This window comes from Homo sapiens, chromosome 14 (assembly GCF_000001405.40).
Source record: "Homo sapiens chromosome 14, GRCh38.p14 Primary Assembly".
Taxonomy (NCBI): domain Eukaryota; kingdom Metazoa; phylum Chordata; class Mammalia; order Primates; family Hominidae; genus Homo; species Homo sapiens.
The window spans coordinates 89,565,893-89,577,922 of NC_000014.9; the positions used below are offsets into that span (position 1 = coordinate 89,565,893).

Sequence of the window (12,030 nt, forward strand, 5' to 3'; positions counted from 1 at the left end):
CAAGGAGAATCTCTGCAACTACATTTTATTTCTCTAACCTGCTAGTGTCAAGGTCATTTCGCCCCGGAAATATAAAACCTGCTGTGTAGCGAAGGGGTAAAAGAAAGAAAAGAAATCCTGGCAGTTAAGCTGTCCCTGTGACCCTCGCCCCAGAATATCACTTACTTTTCATCTCACATAATTCCTGGCCGGTGGGCTCCTCGGAACTGCTAGAAACTGACAATTAGTAAAACAAATCCCACGAGTAAAGACCAACAAGAAATTCCTGTAAAAACCTCACCCATACACACTGTACTATTTTACCTTTTTTTCAAAAGTAAATTGTGGCTGTCAAATGACACCCTTTCATTACTGTCACTGACTCTTTTAAGAACGGCTAATCAGAAAAGCCTACAGAGGTATTTAATCAGATTTTTTTTTTCTTCAAATGACCTAATGTTTTGGTATAAAACTGCTGCCAGCTCACGCTGGGTAGAAATTTAGCATTGTCAGCATTTAATTATTATTTTATCACGGATTTCTTTACTTTCCTACAGGGAAGAAATAATTTTTTTAAAAAAAAATGCAGCAAGTGCTTAGCTTTTAAAATCACAAGACGCTTGCTTCATTATTGTGCTTTGTCAAAAATTACTAGCTCAGGACATGGGACATATCACGGAAATGCACTTTAGGTTAATAAGTGGTACTGCCATCACTGGCTTCAGTCTTCCAGGACATGGAAAACTGGGAAGTGAAAATTATGTTCATTGTGTTGGTTTTCGGGAAATGAGATTATTCTAGACTCATTCACATTTGTGTGTCATAGCAGCTACATATTCTCCTACCCCTAGGACACCTGGGTGAAGCCTGTGGCTTTACCATTCCCTCCTCCTCCTCCTCCTCCTCCTCCTTTCACTCCATCTTCCTTCTTCTCCACCTCCTCATCCCCTACTCCCTTCCTCCTCCTCCTCCTCCACCTCCTCTTACTCTCACCCCCCTCCTCTTCCTTACCCTCCTTCCCCTACCCCCTCCTTCTCCCCTCTTCCTCCTCCTCCCTTGCCTTTTTTCCTCTAAGGTGGGAATAAGAGAGTGGGGAGGAGAAAAGGAGGAAAAATGGAAAGAGAAAGAAAAGACAGGTGTGTATCTGTGACCTCTAGCCAACTGACCCAAGGCTACAAGTATATGGCTAATAATGGTGGCACAAGGACCAGACATCCAGGTGCGTTCCCTAAAACTACTCTTTCATTTTTTCCTCATCATTCAGCTAAAATCTCTTTTTAGAAAATTACCTGTTTCATCATCACCACCACAAAACCCTTCATCTGCCTCTCTTCCCCTTTAACCAGTTCCTTTTTCCTTGCTTTAGAGTCAAGCTCTGAATAAGCTGGAAATGTTTGGTGCAGACAAGTCAGCAACAATTCTTTCTTGAGCATCTACTGCAAGCAGATAATTGTGCTCACTTCTGAGGGTAGGATGGGGTATAAACCTAGGTATGAAGTAGTCCTAAGGCAAGACTGTAAAAGGTACAGAGCGATACTAAGGGAAGACTGTACTAGGTACAAAGTGGTACTAAGGGAAGACTGTACTAGGTACAAAGTGGCACTAAGGGAAGACTGTACTAGGTACAAAGTGGCACTAAGGGAAGACTGTAAAAGGTACAGAGCGATACTAAGGGAAGACTGTACTAGGTACAAAGTGGCACTAAGGGAAGACTGTACTAGGTACAAAGTGGTACCAAGGGAAGATTATTTATTGGCACATGATACAATTAATGAGTGGCAAGGACAAGGAAGGTTACAGTTACCTATTAGCTTCAAAGGTGTTTTGTGCCACCAAACAAATCTCGTTGATTTTTTTTTTTTTTTTTTTTAGACAGAGTCTCGCTCTGTCTCCCAGGCTGGAGTGCAGTGGCGCGATCTCGGGTCACTGCAAGCTCTGCCTCCCGGGTTCACGCCATTCTCCTACCTCAGCCTCCAGAGTAGCTGGGATTACAGGTGCCCGCCACTACGCCTGGCTAATTTTTTGTACATTTAGTAGAGACGGGGTTTCACCGTGTTAGCCAGGATGGTCTTGATCTCCTGACCTCGTGATCCACCCGCCTCGGCCTCCCAAAGTGCTAGGATTACAGGCATGAGCCATCGCGCCCGGCCAAATCTCGTTGATTTCAAAGAGAACTTGAGACTTCTCCCCAAAACCTATCCTCCCCTAAAACCTATCCTCTCGCTGCCCCCCCAAATTTCTCCCATCTTAGTAATTGTCACCTCCTAAATGTCAGCATCTGAGGACTTTGTTTCCCTCCCCGCTTCCATTCTAATGCACTAGAAAGTTCTCTACATCTTCACCACTTCTGTACTTCACTTTAGTCCAGGGACTTCGCTCACCTGGTCTCCGTGACTGCACTGCTGCCCACCTATGAACCATCCTGCATGAAACAGCAGAAGGGATGCTCTGAATAGAAACCTGACCATGCCACTCTCATGCTTGAAACTGGCCGATGTTTTCCCATGAGAGCTAGAATAAACCTAACCTCCTCCCTGCCCCTGACCACCTCCCCGCACATCCATGCCACACTCTCCCTCACAGTCGCTCCTTCCACAAGCCCCAGGGTCTTTGCACAGGCTCTGCCCTCAGCACGGAAGCCCTTTCCACCATGTGCACAGTGAACTCCTTCGGGATTTTTAGGACTCTTTGTAAATGTCAGCTCCTCAGGGCTGGCCCCTAACATTTGCGTCCTTTCTTGCTTCTTATCACAATTTGCAATTGTTCCACTTGTCTGTTTACTTGCTAATTATACAGAAATTCCTTGCTGGCAAGGGCCCCCTCTGGTCTTCTTATTCCATAACCCAACAACTAGCATAATGTTTGGCACAAATGAGAAATTCAGTATTTTTCACAATGAATAAATAAAATGCTTATTTATTTCCCAAAAAAAGTCTATGTGACAGGAGGAAGCTCCTAAATGTATTTACACATGGTTTGGATCATGGATGGTTTGGCCCTTTCTTAGATAAACTTCAAGTTGAGTTATGATTATGTTTAAAAGGCGCCATTGGCCGGGCACGGTGGCTCACGCCTGTAATCCCAGCACTTTGGGAGGCCAAGGCGGGCAGATCACGAGGTCAGGAGATCGAGACCAACCCGGCTAACACGGTGAAACCCCATCTCTACTAAAAATACAAAAATATTAGCCGGGCGTGGTGGCGGGTGCCTATAGTCCCAGCTACTCTGGAGGCTGAGGCAGGAGAATGGCGTGAACCTGGGAGGTGGAGCTTGCAGTGAGCCAAGATCGCACCACTGCACTCTAGCCTGGGGGACAGAGCGAGACTCCGTCTCAAAGAAAAAGAAAGGTGCCATTTCCATTATCCTACCCAGACTACCCACTGACAGCAGAAGGGCAAAATGCATGGAGGGTGGGGGTGGGTGCCCATCTAAGAGTCAGGGAAAGTAGTATTTAATACGTAGGTAGTGGAAAGTGACCTTGGGTGAGCAGTGGGCTGTAACAAGTCCTCCCAGTAAGATTTCAGCCCAGCTCTGCTGAGCTGCAGCTGTGGCCTGCCTTCTATTTCCACCTCCTAAAGGAAATGCTGCTTCCTCCATGAGGCGGCTGTGTGATCACACTGAGCACTGTATACTGAACCAACTTAAAATGTATGGCTACTTTGGAGGTCTACCTGGACACACCACTGACATAGATAATCAACCTCAAAGAAAACTTCATGCCACCAGAAAATCTTGATCATGACAAATTAATCCAACATATATTTGTTGAGGCCAGACATTGTTCTAGGCAATGGAGAATAATAGTTAAAATGAAAAACTAGTTGCTGCCTTTAAGGGACTTACAGACCAGAGTGAGAGGAGTCATCTATACAACATCTATACATCTGTGGCCTCAGATCCGTGCCTGCCAAAGGGCACCATCATCATACCTGATGGGGAGCCATCAGGTGTTGCTCTTGGCCATCACCCTGACTCCTCTTACCACCCAGGGAGCTATCCACAAGGAACAAGGGCCTAAAAGGAAACTCAATTTAACTTTCTCAAGAGCTGAGTCCAGTGCAGAGCTCCGGCAAGGCTTACTTACTCACCTGGCCACAGGGAAGACAGGAAACACGTGGAGTCACTTGGTATGTTTTTTTTTTTTTTTGAGACGGAGTCTCACTCTGTCGCTCAGGCTGGAGTGCAGTGGCGCAATCTCGGCTCACTGCAATCTCCGCCTCCCAGGTTCAAGCGATTCTCCTGCCCCAGCCTCCGAGTAGCTGGAACTACAGGTGCATGCCACCACGCCCGGCTAATTTTTTGTATTTTTAGTAGAGACAAGGTTTCACCATGTTAGCCAGGATGGTCTCAATCCCCTGACCTCGTGATCCGCCTGCCTCAGCCTCCCAAAGCGCTGGGATTACAGGCGTGAACCACCGCATCCAGCCGGTACACTTGGTAATTTTTAAGGCACAGTAATCTTGCACATCATTGCTTGTGGCCCATTTCAAGTTCTATAATTTGGCATATCAGTCTCACAGCTGCTCCACCCAAGCAGTGTGGAGGGCAGTTGAAGGGTGGAGCCGAAAACATGGTGTCCCTTGCAGCAAACCTCATGATGCATTAAGAAGCTCTCCCATTTTACAGATGAAAAAACGGGAAAATGAAGGGATTGGATTGCTAAGGCCATAAAGCCATGGAATAGCTGAGTAGGATGGAAAACCAAGCTTGTCCAACCCACGGCCTGCCAATGGCATGCGGCTCAGGACGGCTTTGAATGCAGCCCAACACACATTTGTAAACTCTCTTGAAACATTATGAGTTTTTTGCAATTTTGGTTTTTTTTTTTTAGCTCATTAGCTATCATTACTGTTAGTGTATTTTATGTGTAGCTCAAGACAATTCTTCTTCAAATGTGGCTCAGGGAAGCCAAAAGATTGGACACCCCTGATCTAAACCCAGGTCTTTGGACCTCAAGTTCAGTTGTCTACCTTTGCCTTCAGACTAACCATGGTAGCGATGCCCCATGTAGGAAGTGGATTTTACAACAAATCCATAACCACTGTCAGCAAATAAAAGTAACCATTTCTAGACATTTCAAACTTTGTTGAAATTTTAACTATAACTATCCAGAATGACCTAGACATTTAAATAAGAAAGGAGCACTAAGTAGCTAAAAGCCCATGCACTGTACTCAGCACTGCACTCAAAGACTGTCCCCTCAAACTTTTGTTCAAAACCTACAGACTCTTACTTTGAACCTAATTCTAATCAGGTGTGCAGTCTGGCTTCTTAACCCCTAGACAGGTAGAGGTAAGTAAATTAAAACAAATTCCTAGAGGGAGAGAGAGTGATTGCAATGAAAGGTGATAGACTGGCCTGGCATGGTGGCTCACGCCTGTAATCCCAGCACTTTGGGAAGCCGAGGTGGGTGGATCATTTGAGGTCAGGAGTTTGAGACCAGCCTGGCCAACATGGTGAAATCCCACCTCTACTAAAAATACAAAAATTAGCCAAGCGTGGTAGCAGGCGCCTGTAGTCCCAGCTACTCAGGAGGCTGAGGCAGGAGAATTGCTTGAACCTGGGAGGTGGAGGTTGCAGCGAGCCGAGATTGTGCCACTACACTCCAGCCTGGGCAGGAGAGTGAGACTCTGTCTCACAAAAAAAAAAAAAGAAAAGTGACAGACTGAGAATGAAAAAAGAATAAAAGTTGGTGAACTTTTTATATAAAGATCAGAAAGTAAGTATTTTAGACATCATGTACCACACCACCTCTGTTGCAACTACTCAACTCCACCACTGTAGCTCAAAAGCAGCCATAGACAACACCTAAACAAATGAGTGTGGCTCTGTGCCAATAAAACTTTATTTACAAAAAACAGATGGTAAGCCCGATTTGGCCTTCAGGCTATAGTTTGCCTACCCATAAAATATAGGAAAGCTTCAAAGCCAACACAATGATGGTAGTTTGGAGCCATATCATTAAGAAACACCTCAAAAGCCCTTCAGATACCTGGTATTACTGAGTAGCATGGTCCTTGATCATAAAATTATAGAATTTTAGAAATGTCAACAACCTTAGGAGTCTTATGGTCCAATTCTTCATTTTTATAGATGAAGAAATAAATGCTCAGAGATGTTCAGAGACTTGCTAAAGGTCACACAGTGAATTAATGATTAAACTTAAATTAGAAGTAGAGTTTTGATTCCAAGTTTAGAACTCTTTCCATTACTCCATATCTATTATTTTAGCCTTTCGGTAACAATGGAATGGAGGAAAAGCTCATTTAATTAAAAGACTACACCCTTGAGATTGTTAAGATTCTGGAATCACTAAAGTATACAGATCATACAGTTCCAGATGTTTATAAAGATGATTTTAAATCAAGTCAAAGGTTAAATTAGGTTTAATGTACTCAGAGAATATAACTTTAGAAGCAGTGCTAAAACACATTTCAAATAATTAAAAGATTAATATATGTGGAAATTTGTATTCTCCCTTGTGTTTGGGAAAATGAAGTCTCACTGTCTATTAGTATAAGAAGAAAAGCTGGCCACTGAAGTTGATAAGTTTAGACATGCTCATAGGAATAAATTCTGACCAGTTTCAGGGCAGCCCGAGAATCGCCCAGGCACTGGCTGGCCCTAAGTAATTTTTCTAATTGCTGGATGCCACATATTCATTCAATTGCCTCATTCAACTGAAAAATAAAAGCCACCCTTCATCCTACCTTTGTGATCTTCCCCTTTCCTATCATTAGCAATGTCTTCTGCTCCTTTTCTGAATTAATTAGGAAATAAAAATAGAACTCTGACATGTTTACAAAGATGCAGAGTGCTGGTTAAACATGAAAGAACAGAGGTTGGGAACACAGAGGTGACAAATTTTATTTCTGTGATGACAAGTTAGAGTCCTCCTGCCAGCTGGCCCTTGCCATAGCCAGAAGTATGCACCTGTCTACAGAGAAGTCAGGGAAGAAGGGGGAGCTGAAAAAGCCTCGGGGCCCCAGCTTGGCCTTCCATGCCATGCAAATGAGTTCTAATTGCTCGGGGTCATCGAACAGGGTTCCATGTGGCACTTCCATGACAGCTCCTGGCAGAGAGGGAGGCAGGGACACAACTTCTGTTAGCCTAACCACAAAGGTGGTCCTGTTTCTGCTTAGACCCTAGAGCAGGGCTGTGGTTTGGGGAGTTCACCTCTCCCTACCTTCTGCCATACAGGAAAAGGGAGAAGGAGGTGCGTCACCTAGTGCTTCTGAGTGTCCCCGAGATGCACTTCTAGTTTGACAGTGCTGCCAAAGGAAATGAGAAGCGATAAGTGATCCAGCCCCGATTAGATCAGCCGCCGTGGGAAAGGTGCTGAGCCAGAGATATTTCACTGAAATAAGGAGAATCTTGGGAATAGATTTCTGGCAAGCAATCCCGAAGCAGATATGGTCTGAATTGGAAATAGATTTCATGGGCAGATAAAGTCTAATAAATGGCAGGTCACTCAAAAATCATATATCATCAAGTCTCATACAGTGTCTGTGAAGTTTATTATCAATAATTTAACACGAGAAGAGCCTAGCCCTTAGCAAATATTTAATTTCAAAACATACCTACTGATTTACTCAGATACAGCATACATACTATATTACAAATATATTGCAGGAAGCCAAATGCCAATAAAGCTGCACTTAGAAGACCAGCATGCTTTTTGCTTTCCAAATCCCGTTAAGGAAGAGAATGGCCTCCCATCCACGGGATGGGAGTCCAACAGCAGTTTCTAAATTGCACTGGAAAAGAAAGTTTGCACATAGACAATACCTGAGCCCCTTCATCCCCAGGCCAAGCAACATGCCAGATAACACATATACAAGTACTGGGGACAACAATTAAGGACCCCATCAGAATGTGCATGCTGTGCCTAAAGGCCACAAGAGGATTAAAGCAAGGTCATGGCCGGGTGCATGATCTTTTTGGAAGCCCATAAGTTCGAGACCAGCCTGAGCAACATGGGGAGACCCTGTCTCTATTTTAATAAAAAAACTAGCAGGCTTGGTGTGGGGGCACCTGTGGTCCCAGCTACTCAGGAGGCTAAGGCAGGAGGATCCCTTGAGCCTGGGAGGTCGAGGCTGCAGTGAGCCGTGATGGTGCCATTGCATTCCAGCCTGAGCAACACAGCAAGACCCCATCTCCAAAAATAAAATAAAGTAAAAAGAAAGCAAGGTCCTTAGTAGCAAAGAGGAGTCACTTTTTTAAGGAGATAGGAGGCAAAGGGAATTATCTCCATGGCCACTGTTTGCAATTATTGTTGGTCTGAGCCACTCTCCCTTCAGCCCCTACTCAATAATTCACTCCACTCCAAAGCAGACCCCCACCTCTTCCTGGCTGAAAAGTGCCACCTCTGGGCAGCCAACATCAGCAACAAGGGTTCTAGAAAAGTGGATGTTTTATAAGAGAATGGTAGTTCATTTAACCAAGTTAAAAACAGAGGCATGGTCTAATAAGGACATATTCGTTCCATGGTTCTAACTTCCAGAATAAGGTTTCTGGTCTTCTCTGGCGAGGTGGTGATAATGGCCTGGCAGGGATACGCTTGGTGGCTGGCAGGGAGAGAGCAGAGAGAGAACCAGTGGGTGCCTGCAATCGCCTTCTACCCAGGAAACAGGGAGGAGACCACTGAACTGAGTGCTTGAGGGAGCTTGGTGCCAGTCCCAGCTCTGCCCCCTGCCAAGACACAGCCCCAGGATTTCACTCCACCATCTCAAAGGGCCACTCCCTCCCATAGTGTTGGTACATAACTGTTATCAGCTCTTAGCAGAAGGATTTCCTACCACTTTACATCCCTATGTTGGAATCTCAATGGGAAGCTTCTCTGATCGTCCTACAGGCAGTGGCTGGAACAAGAAAAGAAGACTGGGCCAAATGTTAGGAGACCTGGCTCTTAACCTCCAAGCTTATCTAGACATGCAAAGACCTCCGAGGCTCCTCCAATTCTTAAAATCTCTTCCCTATGAAAATCAGAATTGCCTTTACAGCTTTAAAAAAAAAATTGTAAATTTCTATTTCTTCTGTATGTTGTGCCTTTATAGGAAAGGAAGGGTGTACTGGAACTCTAAAACACTCTACTGCTACCCCACCAGCTGATCGGTATGCAAACAAGGCCAGCGGGAAGCTGAAGCAGATGAGATCAGGTAAGAAAATCACGAAGTGCTCTAAGCCAAAGTGAGGTGTTGAGAGCAAGGTTGTCTATACTGACTCTGATGAAAGCTAACTCAGACTCAAAGTTTCTCCTTCATAAACTGCAATCATCCTTCCTCCTCTATTTTCCCTGACAAAATCCTCACCTTTCTGCCAACCCACGAAGGGGACCCCCAAGCGACACTGACTCTAGAAGATCATAGTTAAGATCACTCTAAGATGACCTTGAAGGACCTTGCTATCTGGGTAGGCTCACAGGTCAGCTGGTGACCAAGCACTTGACCCTTGAGATTCATGATAGAGATGGCAGAAAGGAAATTGGGAGGTCGTTTTGGGTCAGTAAACCCTGGCTGGGGTGGGGATGATAGGGAGAAGGGATAAACACTATAATAAACTCAAGCGACGGGGGCTGGACAAACTGCCCACTCCCTGCTTTTACCAAAGGCAGGTCCTCTCCAATGCTGGTGAATTCTCTGCAAAGCAAAAACCCAGTCTGCAACTCATTGTTATAGCCAAACACAAAGCACAGCTCCAGAGCACAAAAACCACCAAGTATGTACAAGTCAGCATTTTGGAAGCAGAAGGAGCTGCCACGCTCGGGCCCTTGGAGGCTGCTTAGGGGAAGCTCTTTCCCTCTCTCGTGGCATCTCTTGAATCAAAATTCAACTTAGCTCCCAAATCAGAGGATACCGATGGTCTCTAACAACTGTTTCTTATTTAGGTTTGATAACCCCAGTTCACGCTTTTGTCTACTTTGGGAAGCACTAGGCAAAGTCGTGGCCATGTGATTGGCTCCCAATGCTGGGCTGGGGCTGGCAACCGCCCTCCGGCCTCCACGCAGCGCCTGTGAAACTCTTCATTCAGCAGAACTGGGGACCAGATGCCTCTATGCCCCACCGATAAACTCCTCGCTCTGAAGTTAGGCTAAGCAGAAGAATCAGGTCTTTGATTTTTGCACAAGGTCTCACGGAAGCAAATTCCATCGCTGACATCGTAAGTGACTTGTTTTCAGCTGTTCCTGACACCTCTGATGGCTCCCAAGTTTATTTTCCAGAGACACCCATCTTAGGCAATTCTGGGAGCCCCAGGGGGAAAATGTTAGAAATATCAAAACAGCCACGTGCTCTAGCATTTAGCACATTGTAGAACAATATAAATTTAGTGCATTTAGACCACTTTATATTAACTAATTTAGAAAACGTTGCTTTCGCAGACTTCGCCGGGTGCCTTTCACTGCCAAACTAAATACTCCACTTTAAAATACGCCCCTGCGTACTCATGTGATTTCTCCTTTTAGGCTAGGAATGTAATGTTGACATAAATGTCAAATAAAATTAATGAGAGAATGGGCCCTCAAATGGTGCTCCTGTGAAGGGAATTTGTTAGACTGGGACCTTTGAGCCCAAATGTATATATAATTATATAACACTCAGACAAGGAAGGAATCTGAATGTTAAGCTTTAGCAAATGTATCACCTTTGTCAGAAATGCTGTTACCTACAAAAAAAAAAAAACCCAAAACAAAACAAAACAGGTTGCAAGTAAATTAAGATGAAAATACCATCAGATTAGAAGTCTGTCACGGCAAGCTACTGCAGAATTAGAAGGGTGGCCCATCTGCTGGGTATCCAATCCTTCCCTTATCTGTATAGAATTCGGATCAGATGTCTTCTGTTCCCCGAACACTTCCGCTGTTGACTTTGCAAATGGACCTCCTCCCGCCCAACCCAGCTCCTTCCCTCCCTCCTCCGTCTCTCCCAACTGGCCACTTAGGAAGAGTAAAAATGGCAATTAGAACAGGAGCAGCTATTTTCACTCAGTAGTCAAAGAATTGGATACTAGCACAGTGGCTGCCTCCATCCGTATGCTGATACATAACTACTTTGTCTTGTATTTGTAGTCTCAAAAATCTTCCCTAAGTATAGTAGAATCAGAGAAAATCGCTCTAATCATTGAAAAGCGCCCTGTGCTGAGTAAAGCAGCCAGTCTTCTCTTGTCACCGTAAAAGGCTGGGAGTAAAATTTCCCATAAACACAGGGGAAACCTACATTTACTCACATGCCAAGGAAAATGGCACGGAAGACCCACGTGTAGCCACAGCAGAGTCTATGCAGAGGGCCTGCAAATGCCTGGGGTGCGAGTGAATGCCTGGAGGGGCGGAGTTTCCAAGATAACAGCTATTGTGTTTTCTTTTTCACACTTCAGAAGAGAATCCTAAGGACTAGACTCCGCTCAGTGCATTCCTTTTTCATACACTGATCTCAAGTACAATCACATAATTTTGAAAATCCATGTAGTCCTCCATAAATAAAATTATAAGGATAGGTTTCTATTTCCTTCCGATTACCTAGATACCTCCGTCTTCTGGAAAACCCCAAAAAGACCAGTAGACGAATCAGGAAGGTCCTAGGAGTGATTCCTCCAATGGCAGGAATCATAAAGGAATAAAAAACCTGCAAATTCATGGCAAATGATGTCAGGATGAAATGATGCCACACATCTTTACAAAGTTCACAAAATCCATATATTCCCGGGGCAATCACGGGGAATTTCTAATTAAATTTCAGGGAGGGAAAGAGAAAACGGTTAACCACCAGCTTCAAACACCTCACACTCCTTCTGTTCTCTAGGAAGTCATTCTTACCCTGGATAATGTGGAGTGCCTGCTTCGGACCCGGGGAAAATTCTCCATTTTCTCCTTTTTCTTCAGGCTATCAGTTCATCATGAACAAATATGGAAATTTTCCTGAGGAGGAAATTCAACTACCAAAATAACTCCTTCATAATTCACACGTGCAATCACAACGGTGATTAATAAAAACCTGAAACAGCTCCTAAAAGCCTAAAGCATTAATTACTCTGTTAGATGTCAGGACTCTATGAAAA

The 12,030-nt window shown here is 44.5% G+C and overlaps 1 protein-coding gene and 1 long non-coding RNA gene across 2 annotated transcripts in view; one reads left to right on the forward strand and one right to left on the reverse strand.

Annotated features, from left to right (window-relative positions):
- Positions 1–12,030, reverse strand: part of FOXN3 (forkhead box N3) — a 462,989-nt gene that overhangs the window by 409,716 nt on the left and 41,243 nt on the right. The gene's annotated exons all lie outside the window — the stretch shown is intronic.
- Positions 10,324–11,585, forward strand: FOXN3-AS2 (FOXN3 antisense RNA 2). The gene has a single exon (NR_024620.1). It is a non-coding gene; the product is annotated as an FOXN3 antisense RNA 2 (long non-coding RNA).